Source organism: Homo sapiens, chromosome X (assembly GCF_000001405.40).
Source record: "Homo sapiens chromosome X, GRCh38.p14 Primary Assembly".
NCBI classification, from domain to species: Eukaryota; Metazoa; Chordata; class Mammalia; order Primates; family Hominidae; genus Homo; species Homo sapiens.
In genome coordinates, this window is record NC_000023.11 from 34,082,965 (window position 1) to 34,104,869 (window position 21,905).

Here is a 21,905-nt window from a genome sequence, read left to right on the forward strand (position 1 = left end):
TTGAAAAAAAAGATCTCTAGGAACTTGACCAGAAAATGTGAAAGGTCACATTAGCCTAGGAATTCAAATGCACCATTATGTATAAGCCTTTGATGATACAGTCCTGTATATTCCAGTGGATTGGAAATAATGCCTGCCCCTGATGCCTGAGAAAAGGTACTGAGCCCCTTAAGACTTGGAAGTAAAATGAAGATACCCAATAATTTATATTTTTGAATGTTACTGGAATTATCTTCCATGAGAAGCATTTGTATTGAAGTTATTTTTATGTTGTAAAGACAATTAATCAGGGGCTATGTGGGATGACCTTAAGGTAATGAAGACCAATATGAAATGCTCAGCTAATAATCTGATACAGTAATCCAGATATGGGCAAATACAGGTCAGAACGACAGCAATGACGAGGGAAAAAGAAAGGAAGAGACATTATTAAGAGGAACTTCAAGAACAGATTCTTTCAATATTTAGCAATGTCTATATATGGAACAAATTAAATAAATCAACAATGACTCCAAGATTTCCAGCTTGTATTGCCTGGGCAAAATGACACATAGCTGAGCAAGAATGTGCCCGTATTTATATTTGCAGTTTTCTTTAAAATAAATTGTTAAATGTAAAGAATTAAGTCAATAATTCGATATACTATTTATAGGCTATATATGTAATACACTTTATATTAAAATGATGTTTAAATCTTAAAAGATAATGAGTTCCTACTGGAGAATACCATAAAACACTACCTTCAGCTTTCTAGAGATGGTAAGATATAGCTCGCCAATTATTTTATTCTTTCTTATAATAATAAGAAAACCATGTTTGGAAGTCTAAAATTAAGGCCAAGCATGTAGATTTTAAGATATTCAGATGTCTAAGAAGTGTTAAGGCTACTGTTCTTAGTTTCTTTACTGAAAATAGTATAATTGTCAATGATTTCAAACCTCTAATTGATGATTTTTTTTCTGTTTAGACAATAATTTTTTTATGCAGTGTGTAAATCTCTTTAAAGCCCATAGAGGAAGTGAGCCTGTTTTGACACTTGCATTATATTCCATACAATGTGTTTTGTGAGTGAATTAAGGATATTCTACAAAATCACTACTAACCTATTGTGTAGATTATTACATACCTTCCAACAGACATTGGATATTTGGGAAATGGGAGAAGGGGCTGTTTTATTACAATTTCAGTCTCTGTGAAGTATAAGGTTAAAAATATTAGGGTCCTTTTTGCAATTAATAATTAACCAGCTTTTGGTAAAAAATAATTTCTAAATCATGAGAAATTTACTAAAATATATCTGCTTTTTATTTGAACATTTGTTATAGATTTGGATTTTGCAAAAAGTGTAATTATCTTTCTTGAGGTAATAACTTTTAAACTATAACTTCTAAAGAGTGTTTTATGTAATTAGAAAAATTTACAAATAAGTTATTAGAAATAAAAAAAATTAATACTCATTCAAAAGAAGCAAAGACTATTCAATAAAATGAGAATAGCAATCACCCTGAAAGGACACAATCAATCACACACGAACTGGTAATGTTACATAGTTAAAATATGCACTCTTAGAAAACCCAAACAGAATTCCATTTTAACACAGTAGATTTTTATATTACATCATTTTGTTTCAAAGTTTATATATTTGCTCTTTGATCTGTGTGCTATTTAGATGAATAGATAATTGTTTTCAGGGGATAATGACATTTTTTGATGCTTTGCTTTTGTTTTGACATTTGATATTTTGTGGTCTGAAAATATGGCTTATAAAAATGTCTCTTTAGGTAGAATGCTTTAATGTTTTGTTGCGAGTTCTATACAAATGGATACTCCATTAGAGGTTAAAAACTTTCATTCTTACAGACAATCTCTCTTCTCACTCTCTTCTTCTGCCTTTTTCTCTTTCTCTCTCAGAAAAAAAAAAATTATGTAATATTATTTAAATCCCAAGGAATCATATTAGTCTTTTGACTTAAAATACTAAAATATTTTACTGTGATGATTCTAGTATTTTGGTATTGTCTAGGAGTTTTGCTATATGTATTTTCTTGCTTTTTTGTTTGGTGCATAAAAAATATGAGTTTTTAAATTATCCATTGGTTATTAATTTTATTATTATAGAAATGTTCATTAGTGTTCTATTGATGCTTTCACAAATTACCAAAAACTCAGGGGCTAAAAATGATGCACATTTATTATACTATATTTCTGTAGATTAGAAATCTTACACAAGTGTCACTGGACTTCAATCAAATGTTTTCCTTCCTGGATACCCTAAGGGAAAATAAGTTTCTCTGACTTTTACAACTTCCAGAAGCCACTCACAAATTCATTCACTCATGGCCCTTGCCTCCATCTTCAAAATGAGTATCATTGCAGGTCTCTAATCCTTTTGCCATCATATCTTTTGACCACAGCCAGGAGGGGTTCTCTGCTTTTAAAGGTTCATAATTAGGTTGAAACTTATTGGATAATCCAAGATAATCTCTCCTTCTCCAGTCCTTAACTTCAGTCACATTTGCAAAGTCTCCTTTACAGTGTGATATGACATATTCACAGATTACAGGGATTAGGAAATGCACATCCTAGAGTTCTAATCAATGATTTTGGTTCTCACCTTGAATGTTGCCTTTTGTGAAATGAATTCTGTCTTATATGATATGAATATTGCCTCTTGTGATTGACATTTGTTCTTGTATGTCAAGTAAATCATATTTCACCCTTTCATTTTTCAACATCTGTGTTAACTTTCTAAAGTGATTTTTTTTTGGGCTAGATATTTGCCAGAGGTTTTTTTCACCTCAAATTCGGTATTTGATAGGAGGAATTCGTCTATTCTACTTTATTGTGATAACTGATATAGTTAATTTTATTTTCTTCATTTTATTTTAGGTATTCCATCTATTTTTTTGTTTACTAATACAAGAGAAAGACAGTCACCTTCTAACTGTTCTCACTAGGGTCATTTAATTCATTAGGATTAAATTTTTGTGGGGCTACCTATATTTTTATGATAAAATGATATATTCAAGGATTGCATGTAGCAAGTATCACTGCCTATGGATCCTTGTACATTGAAACTCTGGGCCTCTGGAATAGGTGTGAATCTGCACTCATGACCCCGGGTGCAACAACAATTTCCTATAAACGTTAACAATAAGCAAATTTTGGTTGTTGAGACTCTTGAGCCAAGGAGTTGAGAACAGAAACAGATTAAGTAGTACATGTATTTATGCCACCATATCCCAAAATCCCATTTCTAGATTTACTCTTTATCCAAGCAAAATCAGGCTCTGTCTCAACTTCCTGTGCTAAACGCAATGGATATTTTTCTGTGATTATGTTAATGAACTTTTTTGGCCTCATCTGGAATTGTTAACTATTTCCACCTTCTTGAAAATCCTTCTTCACTTGCTTTTCACAAGGTTATATTTCCTCTTTATAAGTTTTTCTGTCACGTCTGTATTCTGTTATAGTTCCTTTCCGTGGCTATTACTTACATATAAATATTTATTAAACTTATCACTAGATCTATTTCTTACTCCATATATATTATTTGGTTAGCCTTATCTTCTCCCATGTTTTCAAAACCAGAATTATCTGGACTTGGTGATTGTGTAGATACAAAGGTTAAGGAAGGATAGAGAGTTAAGATGACACCTGAGATTCTTGATTGGACATTTTAGTTAATTCCTATTAGAATGACAGCATACAAAACAGGTTTGTAAGAAAATAATTATTCAGCTTTGATCATAGTGAGTTTGAGGTGCCTGTTATTCAAATTAAAAATAGTCCTCAATTGAGTATACAGTCCTAATTAGCAGGAGATATTCTATGGATGTATGTCTTTGGCATTCATCTCACTTGTGAAATAATTGAAGTCATGAGACTAGGTGAGAATGTTATAGAGGAGTCTGTGGAGTAGGGGCATGAAAAGAGAACAAAAGCCAGAGTTCTAAAAAACATCAACGTTTAAGAGTTAGATAGAAGAGAGTATCACAAAATGACTGACTATAAGCACTTAGATAAATGTGAGAAAGCTCAGGAGGAGAATGTGATATAATACAAACAAAGGAAATATATGACTGATGGACAGAGTTGATTGCTCAACTAAGTCATTCCCTCCTTCTACATAATTTATAGAATCTAAAGCATATTCCATCAGCTTTATGCCCAGGGAGGGGAGAAAATACCTTCAGCCCACAGAGTATGAATTATGATTGGCCTAAATAAAATATGCTAATCTCAACTTCTTTGCTGGTGGCTATTTTATATATTGGCTTATGACAAAGTGCTAGCCAATGAGAAGTCAGGGAAAATCTTGGGTATTCTGAGAAAAGACCAATGTTCTATGACATGTACTAGTGGCACTTCTCTTTTTTAGCCAAACATTTTATACTTAATAAACACTTTGACTACAGAAAATTAGGTGGTACAAGCTATAATTCTTAAAATGTAGATTTTTGATGAGTAAGAGAGGAAAACTGGGGGCAAGCACTGACTCAATTATCTCAGGCTGGGGAATTTGTTACCCTTTTTATATAAAGCATAACACATGGTCAATTTTTCTTTTGTTGTATTCTGTGATGTAGACTACATTTCAAATGATAAAATAAAATTAGAAGTGGTAGGGGAATTCCAGGGTGTTGTCGTGAGTTGTCCCTTTCTTAGAGTTCACAGAAGAAAGAGTAGCACTTGGGTAAAATATGAGTAGTCTAAAACAGGAGTGTGAAATAAGTAAGAGAGATGCTGTCTGTCTCTACGTAGTAATAAATTAAATAAGCAGGAGGCCATTAGCTTGAGCTGTCTCCATAATTTGAGTTTCTACATAACAAACTAAAACCTAACTTAAAAGTGTATTATTTTTGTGTACCAAATAGCCAGGTTTTAGCCAATAACAAACAGGAAAGCTTCAGCCAATCACAGGCAGCCATTACCATCCAGGAGCACGGGAAATTCTGGAAATCAAAGGAAGAAAAGTGGACCTCCTTCTGGACACTGGGGCTGGTCTCTCAGTTCTCCTTTCCAATCCAGGCTCCCTCTCCTCTCTTAGCATGACCAAGAGGGGCATCTCAGGAAGGCCTTTAACCTGATATTTTTCCCAACCCTTTAGTTGTAGTTGGGGAGATCTCTTGTTCGCCCATGCCTTTCTAATTATGCCTGAAAGCCCAACTCCTCTGTTGGGCAGGGTTATTCTGGCCCATATAAGGACCACCACCCTGATGGCTCCAGGACAAACTCTTTGTCTCCCTTTAGTGGAGACTGGTATTAACAGAAGTTTGTTCAATTCAAGGAAAAATTGGCTGAGCAAGAACTTCCATACCAGTTCAGATCCACCTTAAGGATTCCACTTCCTTTTCTAACCAGAAACAATATCCTCTGAAACCAGAAGTTAGGAAAGGACTACAAGCTGTCATTGATAAATTAAGGTTGCAAGGCCTCAAACCCTGCCACAGCCCTTGTAATACCCCAATACTGGGAGTCCGAAAACCCAACTGGGAATGGAGAATAGTTCAGGACCTCTGCCTCATTAATGAGGCTGTGGTTCCAATTCACCCGGTGGTTCCCAATCCATATACCCTACTAACTCAGATACCTGAGGGAACTAAATGGTTCACAGTCCTGGACCTAAAGGATGCCTTCTTCTGCATACCACTATACCCCTATTCCTAGTATTTGTTTGCATTTGAGGTTCCCTCTAACCAAACCACCCAGTTAACCTGGATGTTGTTACCTCAGGGATTCCAAGACAGCCCCCACTTGTTCGGGCAGGAATTTTCAAGTGACTTCTCCGAGTTTCTTTATCCTGAGGTTAAAGTTTTACAAATGTAGATGACATTCTCCTCAGTGCTCCAACTGAAGAAATCTCTCAGGAGGGCAGTAAGACTCTTAGTTTTCTGGCTAACAGAGGATGTAAGGTTTCAAAATCTAAAGCTCAACTCTGTAAGACTTCAGTGAAGCACCTCGGCCTGGTATTGTCAGAGGGGACCAGGGCATTGGGCAAAGAAAGGATTAAGCCCATCTCCTCTTTCCCCTTCCCCCAAACTCTCAAGCAACTGAGGGGATTCTTAGGCATTACAGGATTCTGCAGACTATGCATAGCTGGGTACAGTGAAATAGCTCATCCCTCGTATCACCTAATAAAGGAGACTCAGGCAGCTAAAACTCACTGGATAATTTGGGAACTGGAGGCTAGAAGGCCTTGGACCAACTAAAACAAGGCTTGCTTAAGGCACCAGCCCTTAGTTTCCCCATAGGGAAGAGATTTAATCTTTATGCATCAGAAAGGAAGGAAATGGCCCTGGGAGTTCGAACCCAGGCCATTGATACCTGAGGAGGCAGTTGTCTGTTAGCCACAGACTCCCCTTAGAAAACAGCAGTCCAGCCACATTATGTAGAGTATAAAAGGTAGCCTGTAGGCTACCTAAAGAGCTTGAGTTGGTAGCCAAAGGATGGCCAGTATGCCTCCGGGCAGTTGCAGCGGTAGCCTTGTTGGTACCAGAGACTACTAAGTTAACCATGGAGACTAACTTAACTGTTAACACTCTGCATAATGTGGCAGGACTGCTGTCTTCTAAGGGGAGTCTCTAGCTAACAGATGATGACCTCCTCAGGTATCAACCTCTGCTATTAGAGGGATCTGCAGTCCCATTCAGAACCTGTCCCTCCCTAAATCCAGCCACCTTCCTCCCAGAGGAAGCTGAGGAGCTTGAACATGACTAGAAACAGATAGTAGTATGAACCTAGGTGGCCAGAGAGGACCTCAAGGAAACCCCGTTAGAGAACCCAGACTGGATTCTTTTTATAAACAGAAGTTCTTTTGTAAAACAAGGAATCCATAAAGCAGGGCGTGCAATAGTTACTCTGAATGATATTGTTGAGAGTGCATCTCTCTCCTCAGGCATGAGTGCTCAACTAGCCAAACTAATTGTCCTCACAAGGGCACTCGAATTCAGCAAAGGAAAAGCAGTTAACATTCATACCAATTCTAAGTATGCTTTCCTAGTTCTCCATGCCCATGCCACTTCTGGAAAACAGTCAAAAGTTTAAAGCCACCAAGTTAACATATTATCAATCAATAGACAACTCAATAATGGTAGAAAACTTTGTGGCATTTTATTTGCCCTGTGTCCAACTCCGTCCATGGCTCAGCAGTGATATAGAAGACAGCAGTCCATAATCCCAGTGTGAGATTATGGTTCCTGGTTCTAGAAAGAGCAGAATAGAACTTATTTACAATTTTTTTTTAATTTTTAATTTTTGCGGGTACATAGTAGGCATATATATTTATAGGGTACAATGAGATATTAGGTATGCAATGCATAATAATCACATCATGACAAATGGGTTATTAATCCTCTCAAGCCTTTATCCTTTATGTTACACACAATCCAATTTTACTGTTTTAGTTATTTTAATATGTACAATTAAATTATAACTTAGTATAGTTACCCTGTTGTGCTATCAAATATTAGATCTTATTCATTCTTTCTATTTTTTTCACAAATAATTTTGTGTGCTGTAACCTGTCTGGAATCTACCTTCAGGATTGACACAAGGTGCTTGCCTTTGTTTTGCCTAACTCAGAACTCATACAACAGTAGAAAATGGTGGACATTCCTCAAAAACATTGTAAGGCAAATGAACAACCCTGGGGCAAAATATTATGGTTGAAGCATACAATAGAGCAACTAAAGACTGAGAGGAAAAGACAGGATGTTTATTTGAGAAATTAGGCATTCAAAAGTGCTCATGTATAGGAGATAATTTGCCCAAGGCAGGGTACATACTCAGAAAAGACCTGAGAATGCCCTATACTTTCAACTCTCATTAACCTATAGGTTCAGTGTAAGTAGGAAGTGAAGGGAAAAGCCATGTTGTAAATGTCCTGGCTAAACATTGAAGGAGCATCTCAGCACAAATACAATCTGAAATATTGGGAGAGGGCATTAATGAAAAACCTATAGTACACCTCATAGTCAATGGTGAAAAACACAAAGCTTTTCTTCTTAGATAAGAACAAAAAAAATGCCTGCTTTCATAACATACTTTGTATGGAAGATAATTTCCAAAGCAAATAGAAAAAAAATTAAAAGAAACAAAAGACATCTAATTTGTAAAGGTATAAGTAATATCATATTAACAGAATATATAATCCTATCTATGGAATATTGCAGAGTCCATCAAAAAAGAGAGAAAACGCCTTGAGTTAATACACAACTTTGGCAAAGTTGTAGCTTACAACAGCAACCCAGAAAAGTCAATTGTGTCTCTATACACTAGCAATGAATAATGCAAAAAGTAAGTTAAGAAATCAAATAATTTACAATATCATCTAAAACAATAAAGAACCTAGAGAAAAGGTTAGACAAACAGGTGATGGATTTGTACATTGAAATCTACAAAACATTGATTAAAAAATTAAAGAAGACTTAAGTAAGTGAAAAAATATTCTATGTTCACGGATTAGAACACTACCCAAAATGATCAATACATTCAAGATAATCCCTATTCAAAGTACAGTGACTTTTGGGAGAAACAAAGAAGCCAGTTCTCAAATTCATATAAAATTACACGGGGTCCCAAATGTCAAAACAGTCTTTAAAAAAGAAGGACAAATTTGGAGGACTCAAACTTCCCAATTTCAAAACTAATTTCAAAGCTAGTAATCAAAGTAGTGTGACAGTAGCAGAAAGACAGACATGTAGAAAAATGGAAAAGAACCGGGAATCTAGAACAAAGGCCTACATCTATAGTCAATAAATTTTAACAGGGATGCCAAGATGATTCAGTCGGGAAAAATAATTTTTAAAATAAACAATACTGAGGCTAATGCATATCTACATTCAAAGGAATAGATTTTTACACCTGTGTTACACAATATATAAAACTTAATTCAAAATGGATAAATGACTTTAATATAGGTTTTCAGATCAATTGACATATAGTTTTTCATAATATTCTGTAATAATATTTTAAATTTCTGTGCTATTAGTTGTAATGTCTACTTTTTCATCTCTATTTTTATTTACTTAGCTCTTCTCTCTTTTTTCTTAGTTTACATTAATTAGTTATCAGATGTTATTTGCAATCCTCACATAACCAAAAAACAAAAATCTATAACAGATACACAAAAAATAAAGAGTAAGAAATTATATCATATCACCAGAGGCAATCACTTTTATGCAAAGGAAGACAGGAAAGAAGTAAAGAGAGGACCAACAAAACAACCAGAAATCAAATAACAAGATGGCAGTAGTAAGTCCTTACTTACCAATAATTAACATTGCATGTAAAAGTACTAAATTTCCAGTGAAAAGACAGAGTGGGTGCATGGATTGAAAAAGAAGACCTAATTCTGTGCTTCCTACAAGAAACTAATTTCACCTATAAAGACCCAGGAAGAATGAAAATAAAATGATGAAAAAAGATAGTCTATGAAAATGGAAACCAAAAAAGAATAGGAATAGCTATATTTATATCAGCCAAAATGGAGTCCAAGACAAAAATTATATAAACAGACAAAAAGGTCATTATATAAAGACAAAGTGGTCAGTTCAGCAAGAAGATACAACAGTTGTAAATATATGTGTACCCAACCCTGGGGGACTGAGATATATGAAGCAAATATTATCAGAGCAAAAGAGAGAAATAGACACCAATACAATAATAGCTGGGGACTTCAACACCCCACTTTCAGAACTGGACACATAATATAGACAAAACAATTAACAAAGAAACACTGGACTTAACCTGTGCTATAGACTAAATAGACCTAACAGACATTTACAGAACATGCATCCAAAAACCGCAGAATACACATTCTTCTCCTCAGCAGCACATGGAACATTCTCAAGGATAGACCATATTTTAGGCCATAAACAAGGCTTAAAGATTCAAAAAAATTTAATTATGTCTAGTGTTTTTTACTGACTAAAACGGAATAAAACTAGAAATTAACGACAGGAAGAATTCTGGAAACTATAAAAACACATAGAAATTAAACAATATACTCCTGAACAATGATTGGGTAAAAGGTGATATTAAGAAGAAAATTTTAAAAGTTCTTGCAAAAAATGAAAATGGAAATATCACATAAAAAAACCTATGCAAAAGCTGTACCAAAAGGGAAACATACAGCAATGCCCACATCAAAAAAGTAGAAAAATTTTAAATAAACTACTGATGCATCTTAAAGACATATACCAGAAAGAGCAAACGAAGCTCAAAATTAGTAGAAGAAAAGTAAAGGACAGAGCAGAAATAAATATGATTGAAAATAAAAAAATATGAAAGATTAATGAAACGAAGAGTTTTTTAAAAGATAAAATCAACACACCATTAACCAGCCTAATTAAGAAAAAAGAGAGAAGATCCAAAAAAATAACATCAGAGATAAAAAAAAGAGACATTACAACTGACAGCACAGAAACTTAAAGGATTATTAAAGAATATTATGAGAAACCATGTGCCAATAGATCAGAAAACCTAGAAGAAATAATAAATTACTGGACACATAAAACCTACTAAAATTGAACCATGAAGAAATCCAAAACCTCAATACAAAAATAACAAGTAATGAGATAAAACAGCAATAAAAAGTCTCCCAGTACAGATAAGCCCAGGACCTGATGACTTCACACTAAATTCTACCAAACATTTAAAGAACTAATACGAACCCCTACACAAGCTATTTCAAAACTGTGAGGAGAAGGAAATATTTCTAAACTTATTCCATAAGGCCAGTGTTATGCTGATACCAAAACCAGGCAAAGGAAAATGAAAGGCCAATATATCTCATGAACAGAGATGCAGAAATCCTCAACAAAATACTAAAAAACCAAATTCAGTAACACATAAAAAAGATCAACATTATCAAATGGGATTCATCCCAGGGATGCAAGTGTGGCTCAACATGAACAAATCAATAAATGTGATACAACATATTAACAAACTGAAGGACAAACATCATATGATCATTTAAATAGATCCTGAAAAACAATTTGAGCAACTTCAATATCCTTTCATAATAAAAACTCTCAACAAACTCGGTATAGAAGGAACATACGTCAACATATGAGAAAAGCCATATATGACAAACCCAAAGTTAGTTTCATAATGAAAAAGGAAAACTTGAAAGTGATTCTGTAAGTTCTGGAATGCAATAAGGGTGACCATTTTTACCACTTTTATTCAACATAGTACTAGAAGTCCTAGCCAGAGAAATTAGACAAGAGAAAGAAATAAAGGAGATCCATATTGGAAATGAAAAAGCTAAATTATCTTTGTTTGCATAGGCTATAATCTTATATTTAGAGAAAACTAAAAATTCCACCAAAAAAACTATTAGAACTGATAAATTTAGGAAAGTTGCAGAATACAAAACCAATGTACAGAAATCAGTAGCATTGTGATATGCCAAAAGTGAACAATCTGAAAAAGAAGCCAGGAGAGTAATCCTATTTATGGTAGCTACAAATAAAATAAAATATCTAGGAATAAACTTAGCCAAAGAAGTGAAAGATCTCTATAGTGAAAACTGTCAAACGTTAATGAAAGAAATTGAAGAGGACACAAGGAAATGAAAAGATAGTCAGTTTGCATACATTAGAAGAATCAACACTGTTAAAATGTACATACTACGCAAAGCAATCTTCAGATTCAATGAAATCCTTATGAAAATATCTATGACATTTTCTACAGAAATAGGAAAAAAAAATGCCAGAATTTATATGGAACTACAAAAAATTCAGAATAGCCAAAGCCACCCTGATCAAAAAGAACAAAGCTGGAGGAATAATATTACCTGACTTCAAGTTACGCTACAAAGCTGTAGTAACCCAAATAGCATGGTACTGGCATCAAAAGAGACACATAGACCAATGGAACAGAATAGAGAACCCAGAAATAAATCCATACATTGACAGTGAACTCATTTTCGACAAACTTGCCAAGAATCTAGACTCAGAGCAATTAGACAAGGGAAAGAAATAAACGGCATCCAAATTGGAAAAGAGAAAGTCAAACTATCTCTGTTTGCAGATGATATGCTTATTTACCTAGAAAATCCTAAAAACTCCTCCAAAAGACTCTTAGATTTGATAAATGAATTCAGCAAAGTCTGTGATTACAAAAAGAATGTACACAAATCAGTAGCACTGCTATGCACCAGCAATGACCAACCTGAGAATCAAAGCAAGAACACAATCCCTTTTACAACAGCTGCAAAATAAAATTAAATTAAATTAAAATAAAATAAAATAAATAAATACCTAGTAATACACTAAATGAAGGATGTGAAAGAGCTCTACAAGGAGAACTACAAAACACTGCTGAAATAAATCATAGATAACACAAACAAATGGAAACGCATCCCATGCTCATGGATTGGAAGAATTGTGTCTGGAATTGGTTCCTTCTGGTGGGTTCTTGGTCTGGCTGACTTCAAGAATGAAGCCGCGGACCCTTGCGGTGAGTGTTACAGTTCTTAAAGATGATGTGTCTGGAGTTTGTTCCTTCAGATGTTCAGATGTGTCTGGAGTTTCTTCCTTCCAGTGGGTTTGTGGTCTCGCTTGACTTCAGGAGTGAAGCCGCAGACCTTCCCAGTGAGTGTTACAGCTCTTAAAGGTGGCACGTCTGGAGTTGTTTGTTCCTCCCTGTGGGTTTATGGTCTCGCTGACTTCAGGAGTGAAGCTGCAGACCTTCGCGGTGAGTGTTACAGCTCATAAAGGTAGTGTGGACCCAAAGAGTGAGCAGCAGCAAGACTTATTCTGAAGAGCAAAAGAACTGGAAGGGGACCCGAGGAGGTTGCCGCTACTGGCTGGGGTGGCCAGCGTTTATTCCCTTATTTGGCTCCATCCACATCCTGCTGATTGGTCCATTTTACAGAGCGCTGATTGGTCCATTTTACAGAGTGCTGATTGGTCCGTTTTTACAGAGTGCTGATTGGTGCATTTACAAACTTTTAGCTAGGCACAGAGCGCTGATTGGTGTGTTTTTACAGAGTGCTGATTGGTGCGTTTACAAACCTTTAGCTAGACAGAAAAGTTCTCCAAGTCCCCACCCAACCCAGAAGCCCAGCCAGCTTCACCTCTCAGGATCAATATTGTGAAAACAACCATAACCATCCAAAGCAATCTACAGATTTGATGCAATTCCCATCAACATACCAGCATCGTTTTTCACAGAATTATAAAGAACAATCCTGAAGTTCATATGGAACCAAAAAAGAGGCCAAATAGCCAAAGCAATCCTGAGCAAAAATAACAAATCTGGAGGCATCACATTACTGGACTTCAAATTATACTACAAGGTTATATTTTCCAAAACAGCAGGGTAATGATATAAAAGTAGGCATATAGACCAATGGAACAGAATAGATTACCCAGAAATAAATCGAAGTATGTACAGCCAACTCATCTTTGACAAAGCATACAAAAATATTAATTGGGGGAATGGACACCTTATTTAATAAATGGTACTGGAAAAGCTGGCAAGTCACATGTAGAAGAATAAAACTGGATCACTATCTGTCACCTTATACAAAAATCAGTTCAGGATGGATCAAAGACTTAAATATAACACCTGAAACAATAAAAATTCTAGAAGAAAATATTCGAAAAACTCTTCCAGACATCAGCCTAGGCAAAGAATTCATGCCTAAGGCCCCAAAAGCAAATGCAACAAAAACAAAAATAAATAAATGAGACCCAATTAAACTAAAAAAGCCTCTTCATAGCAAAGGAAACAATAATCAAGTAAACACACAATTCACAGAGTGGGAGAAAATATTTGTAAATTACAGATCTGGCAAAGAACTACTACCCAGAATTTACAAGGAACTCAAATCAGCAAGAAAAAATAATAATAATAATCCTATCAAAAAATGGCCAAAGAACATGAACAGACATTTCTCAAAAGAAGAGACACAAATGTTCAACAAACACATGAAAAAATGCTCAACATCACTAATCATAAGGGAGCTGAAACTTAAAACCACAATAAGACATCACCTTACTCCTACAAGAATGGCCATTATTTAAAAGTCAAAAAATAATAGATGTTGGCATGGATGTGGGGAAATGAGAATGCTTATATACACTGCTGGTGGGAATGTAAATTAGCACAACCTCTATGGAAAATGGTATGGAGATTCCTTAAGGAGCTAAAAGTAGATCGATGATTTGATCCAGCCATCTCACTACTGGGTATCTACACAAAGAAAGAAAAAAAGTCACTATATGAAAAGGACACTTGAACATGTATGTTTATAGCAGCACAATTCACAATTGCGAAGATGTGGAACCAATCTAAGTACCCACTGACTCATGAATTGATAAAGAAAATGTGTTATATATACACCATGGAATACTGCTAAGCCATTAAAAAGGAACGAAACAATGTATTTTGCAGCAACTTGAATGGAGCTGGGGGGCATTATTCCAAGTGAAATAACACAGGAGTGAAAAATCAAAAATTGTATGTTGTCACTTATAAGTAAAAGCTAAGCTATGAGTATGCAAAGGTAAACAGAGTGATATAATGAACTTTAGAGACTAGAAGAAGGTGAGTGGGAGGAGGGCTTGGGAAAAAACACTACACATTAGGTGTGATGTACGCTTCTCAGGTGACAGGTGCACGAAAATATCAGAATCTACTACTAGATAATTCATCCATGTAACTAGAAACTACTTGTGCCCCCAAAGCTATTGAAATATAATTAATAAAAAACAAACAAAAACTGCAAGTTAAAATTGATTAATTCACTATTAGAGACTTCAGCAACACTCTATCAGTAATTGACAGATATAGCAGGCAGAAAATCAGTACAAACATAGACAGCCCAAGCCATTAACTGGATCTAATTGACATAGAACACCTTCATTCAAAAACAGCAGAAGACATAGTCTTCTCGAGCTCACATAGGACGTTCAACAAAATAGACAATATTCTGTAATATAAAACACACCATAATTTTAAAAAATAGAAATGATAAAAGTATGCTGTCACAATATAATGGAATTAAGCTGAATAATAATATAATGGAATTAAGCTAAATAATAACAGAAAGATAGCTGTAAAATCCCAAAATCATTGGAGATTAAACAACATACTTCTAAATAGTATGTGTCTCAAAAAAGTCTCAAAGGAATTTAAAAGCATTTGGTACTAAATGAAAATGAAAATACTACCTATCAAACTTTGTGTGATAGAGTGAATATAGAATAAGGTGACATTTGTAGCATTGAATGCATACTTTAGAAAACAGGAATATCTAAATTCAACATTCTAAACTCCTATTTTAGGAAACTATATAAAGAAGAGCAATATAAACCTCAATCAAGCAGAAGAAAAGAAAATAACAAAAGAAATTAGAGCAGAAATCAGTGAAATACTAAACAGGAAATCAATGGAGAAATTCAAATGAAAACAAAAGCTGGATCTTTGAAAAGATTAAAAAAAATTTTTTAAACTCAAATCAGGCTAACCATTAGGAAAAAAAAGGCAGGAATTGAAAATACCAGAAAGGAAAAAGAGAACATCATTGCTGATCCCACAGTCATTAAAAAGATAACAAAAAATATTATGAAAAAGTCTATGCCCGCATATTTGAAAACTTAAGAATGAAATTATACCAATTTTCTACAATCTGTGACGGAAAATAGAAAAAAAATAATAATAACTTTTCTAACTAGATCTAGATAGGTTTACTGGTGATTTCTACCAAATGTTTAAGGATGAAATTATACCAATTTTCTAAAATCTGTGCCAGAAAATAGAAAAAAAAGGGAATATTTCCTAACTCTTAACTCATCCTATAAGGCTAGCACCTCCCTAATACCGAAATTAGATAAAGAAATAACAGGAAGGGAAAACTACAAACCAATATCCCTAATGAACATAGCTGCAAAAACTCACAATATACTATTAGGAAATCAACACCAACAATGTATAAAGTAATTGTACATTAAGTGAAATTATTTCAGATATGCAAGGCTGGTTCAACATTTGAAAAATTAATGTAAATAACATATCCCATCAACAGCGTAAGAAGAAAAATCATATGACCATAACAATAGATAGAGAAACAGAATTTAACAATATCCAACACTGGTTTATTACAAAAACTCTCAGAAACCTGAATACAGGAGAAATTCCTCAACTTCATAAAGAAACCTGCAAAAAATAATGTCGGGAATGTTACTGTAGATAAAATTTATATAATAATGTAGGGAATGTTAATGGTGAGAAACTAGATTCTCCATATTATTTCTTCATATTACTGGGAAAAAGGCAGTGAAACCCTCGCTCACAACTACTATTCAACATGGTATTGGAAGTCCTAGCTAGTGCAATAAGACAAAAAAATGAAAATGAAAGATACATAGATTGGGAAGAAGAAATAAAACTGTTATTTACACAGCTGGTGTGATCTTCTATTCAGAAAACCCCTAAGAATAGACCAAGAAAAGCCCTAAACTAATGAGCAATTTTAGCAAGGTTGCAGGATACGAGGTTAATAAACTAAGTAGTTAATAAACTACTTTTCTGTATATTATCAAGGAAGATACATTAAACTAGATAAATTTGTATTGACTAGTGACAAATTTATAGCCATTTTAAAGCTTACAGGGTATGTCCTAACACATTTTTTTAAACTATGGTTACTAAAACAAAGAATAGATCAAAACAAAGAAACCGGAGCTCAAAAAGATTCAGAAAATTTACTGCAATAGAGACCAGAAACATTGAAACCCATTGGCTGACTCTTGTATTCTTAGGCCCAAACCCTGGGCACCAGGAATCTCATGGCAGATATTCTGCAATATCCCAAAAAGGCATTCCCCCAATGACCATATTAATTATGGATATCGAAGACAATGAATGAGAAAGTTCAGTCCATAAAATGGAACTACATTCTGATAGATTGGCTATCCAGAGGGCTTCTCCACTGAAGGCAGAAAATCAATACTAATCCTTTCTAGCAGGCTATGCTATATATTACAGAGAAAAAGCTACTGTGAATTCCTTCCTCTTCCCCTTAAATAAAGTTGTTGCATTCCTTCTCCATCATTTTATAATGAATATATTGGGGGCAGGTAATTTATCTTTTTGATATAAAGGCGCCACATTTGGACTTAATGAATAAGAGGATAGATCAAACATTTAATTCAAGCTGGATTTGGTAATTAGATGAGCCTAAGAGAATGTCTCTCTTTGAAAGAATATAAATGCACTGAAAAAAAGTAAATAAATTTAATATGTATATATTGGGGAAAGCACCAGTATGAATATTGAACTAGGAATTAAAAAGGCATGTCACGTTTGGTGACTTCCCAATAGTCCATCAGCCTCCTTTCTTCCTCAATTTATAGAAATCCAATTTGTTCAAGTAGCAATGTGTGTGTGTTCGTTCTCCAAGCCTTAGGGAAGCCATATTTAATATAAACCAAGCAAAATAATCCCAGTACTATTTTGTGAGGGCTTTTTTTTTTTTTTTTCTTTTGAGACAGAGTCTCGCTCTGTGGCTAGGCTGGAGTGCAGTGGTGCGATCTCGGCTCACTGCAACCTCCGCCTCCCGGGTTCAAGCAATTCTCCTGCCTCAGCCTCCTGAGTAGCTGGGACTGCAGGCGAGCATCACCACGCCCAGCTAATTTTTGTACTTTTAGTAGAGACGGGGTTTCACCATGTTGGCCAGAATGGTCTCGATCTCTTGACCTCGTGATTCGGCCTCCCAAAGTGCTGGGATTACAGGTGTGAGCCACCATGCCGGGCCTGTTTTGTTTGTTTGTTTGTTTGTTTTTGTTTTTCTTTGAGGTGGATAAGTAACTCACTTATGTCTCGAGCCATAGGGTCAAGGATACAGTGGATTTAGAAAAAAATAACACACCTTTTTCCTTTAACCAAAATTTATTTTAGAGAAGATGGTACTTGGAGATGTTTCAGTCATGTTTAAATCATGAGCGTATAAAACTAACAAAAATAAGCCAAGTGTGGCATTGAAGATATGTAGAAAAAGCTTAGCTATTTGTTGTCATTGCTGAGGCTTTTTGCCAGATATGGAATCATTCAATTTTCTTATTATATTAATTAAATGCCTTTATTATGGAGTTTTGTTATCTCTTTTTTTAAATTAGGATATAAGTTACTCTGCTATAACAAAGAGAACTAAAAATATAGAAACTCATACCAGGTGAGGTTTTATTTCTCTACATGTAATAGTTCAGCAATGCATGGGCTATTCAGGGTGAGTGGGCTGCTGGGTCTACAATGCCGTGAAGGAAACGAGGCTTATTCTATCTTATTTCTTTGCTACCTCTCCACCTCCACCCGCAATGGTGTTGCCCTCATCAGCATGATCAGCATTAACATTATGACCACATTGATATTCTAGCCTTTAAAAAAGGGAAAATGGAGAGAAAACAATTTTATTTTTAAAATAATGTGAGCAGAATGTTGCACACATTCTTTCTACTCACCCTCCAGTAGCAGAAATTCAAATGGCCACACCTAGCTTCATGGGATTCTAGGACATGAAACTTCTAGTTGGGAGTTCATGCCCTGCTAAAACCTTGGGTAAACAGTTGGGTTTACATTGCTCAAAAGACAAACAAAAACAAAAACAAAACAAAACAAAACAAAAAAACAAAAAAAAAATAGTTTTTTTTCTACACTTGTAGCAATTGAAACACTTTAAGAAATAACTGATCTGAACGGTCAAATATTTCTGAGATTTCAACAAGATAAACAATGATAATTATTTTTAATGTTTATCTTTAAGAAGTTCTGGCTGGGCATGGTGGCTTATGCCTGTAATTCCAGAAATTTGGGAGGCCAAAGCAGGTGGATCACTTGCGGTCAGGAGTTTGAGACCAGACTGGCCAACATGGTGAAGCCCTGTCTCTGCTAAAAATATTAGGTTGGTGCCATTTGGCAAAAAACGCAATTACTGTTGCACCAACCAAATACAAAAATTAGCCTGGTGTGGTGGCATGTGCCTGTAGTCCCAGCTACTTGGCAAGCTGAGGCAGGAGGATCACTTGAACCTGGAAGGTGGAAATTTCAGTGAGCTGATATCATGCCACTGCACTCCAGCCTAGGCAACAGAGCAAGACTGTCAAAAACAAAAAAACAAACAAAACCATAAAACAGCCGGGCACGGTGGCTCATGCCTGTAATCCCAGCACTTTGGGAGGCTGAAGCAGGCGGATCACCTGAGGTCGGGAGTTCGATACCAGACTGACCAACATGGAGAAACCCGTCTCTTCTAAAAATACAAAATTAGCTGGGTGTGGTGGCACATGCCTGTAATCCCAGCTACTCGAGAGGCTGAAGCAGGAGAATCGCTTGAACCCAGGAGGTGGAGGTTGTGGTGAGCCGAGATCGCGCCACTGCACTCCTGGGCAACAAGAGTGAAACTCTGTCTTAAAAAACAAAACAAAACAAAAACAAAAACAAAAACAAACAAAAAAACAGAAAAAAAAACCCAGGATTTCTTTACTTTGGAAAAAAGTGGGTTCAAAAACATACCATAGAGGAAGCCAGACTGCAGGAATTGAACACAAACGATTATATAAATAATGTTGGTAAGGAAAGTGTGGAAAAATATATAGGCCTGTAAATTTAAGACTACCATTTTAAAGCTGAAATGAATGAGCATATCCCAACATTGGTAGGTAGAACAACAAAAATTAATATGGTGAATTATATCATCAGATATTCAAATGTTAAACTAACTACGTGTTCTTTCACTAAACACTGGCTAATAATGAGCTTTCTTCTTCCCTTTCATATATTGATTGATGGTGATAATATTTTGCTGGATATTTTTCATTTATTACAATGAATTTGTCAGATTTGGGAATCATAGCTTTGCTAGCATCGTAAAGTAAGTTGGAAAATATTCCTGCTTTCTCTATTTTTAAAATAATTCCTTTAAGAGTCAAGTGTTTCTTAATTAAGTAATAGAATTATCAAAGCAAGTCATTTGAACTTGAAACTTCTATGTAAGAAGGTTAATTATAGATATTGCACAATTTATATCATATTTTGTTTCTTTACATCAAAATTTAAAAATAAATTCCATAAATTTAATTATAGCCTTTAGTGTCATTAACATCTGTATGACATGTACTATTCCCCCCTTTTCACTCCTGATATTGGAAGTTTGTACTTTTTTTGTTGTACCTTGATTAATTTCCCCAAGGAGTTATGAATTTTAAAAACCAACTTTTACTTTTGTTGATTTTCTCTGTTCCATATTGTTTTCTACTCTATTAATTTTGGCTCACTTCTAACTTATTTCTGTAAAATTTGTTTCTTAATCCCACAGATGATAGATAATACACTCAGTATGATTCCCAACCTATGAAGTTTTTTGAAACTTGCTATATAGCCGAGCATATAAATGCTGCAACTTTAGAAATGTGCACTTTATTAACATTTACTTTCTACAGGTTCCCTGTACTGTGTTTTATACATTTAAAGTTAAAGTTTGATCATTGTTATTTTGTGTATTTTTACTGACTTTTTTTCTGACAAGCACTAAGAGACATCTATCAAAATCCTCCAATTTGAATGTGAACTTCTCAATTTATCTTTATTTTTATGTCATTTTATTTCTTTATACATGCTTGGATATGTAATTCAGAGCATACAAGTTAAGGATAGTTATATATTCCTAGTTGATTGACTCTTTTATCATTATGGGATTTTTTTCATTATAATTAGTATTAATTCTTGTTTTTTAATAGTTTTTTATTTTTAATTTTTATGGGTACATAATAGGTGAGTATATTTATGGTGTACATTAGATACTTTGATACAATCATGCAATGCATAATAATCACATCATAGAGAGTGAAGTATCCATCCTCTCAAGCATTTCTCCTTTGTGTTATAAAGAATTCAATTTCACTCTTTTAGTTACTTTAACATGTATAATTAAGTTATCATTGACTATAGTCACCCTGTTGTGCTATCCAATAGTAGGTCTTATTCATTCTTAGTAATAATTATTGATGTTAGACAATTTTTTCTGAAATCTGTATAGCTACATTGTTTCTTGTTTTGTTTTTATCATATAAATCCATTATCATTTAATTAAAAATACATTATCTTCCTTATATTTAATTTTTTTCTCTTTTAAGCAGCATGCACTTAGAATTTTCTTCAGTCTTAATATCTTTGTCTTTAAATTGGAAGAGTTAGATCTTTTTTAATTTGAAGTAATTATTGATTTATTTGTACTTGAATCCACCAGCAAACTTTTCTATTTGTCCCATTTTCTATGCTCTTTTTTTTGCTATTTTCTTGACTTATTTTTAGTGAATCAATAATTGAATCATTTCATCTTTGATTAGATTATTTTAAAATACTTTTAATAGTTATGCTGGAGATTATAACAGGTCTTATAGATTTATTAATGTCTAACATAAATTTTTAATTTTAACACCTCCCAAATGATGCAAGGACCTTCAACACTTAAAAGTAATGTAGGCTCCTTTATTTTTGTATTGTTTTTTCTGAATATTAATTCTGCATATACTTAAAACTTATGTACCATATATATTATTGCATTACATATTTAATATACTTTTAGATTCACCCACATATTTATCCTTTTCATGGTTCTTTATTCCGTTTCATAATTTTGTGTTTTGAACTGCTACAATTTTTTATTGGTTTTATCTAATGATCTCACTTTGGAATTGCTTTTTGCATAGAGGTTACTGGAGAGAATTATCTCAGTATTTTTTTTTTCCTTTTCACATAGAAACATTTATTTCACCTGTATTTTTGGAGGATATTTTTATTGGTTATATAATTCTAAGCTGCCAATTATTAATGCTTACCACTTTAAAGCTGTCAAGTTATTATCTTCTAGCATCCAATTTTTCTGATAAGAA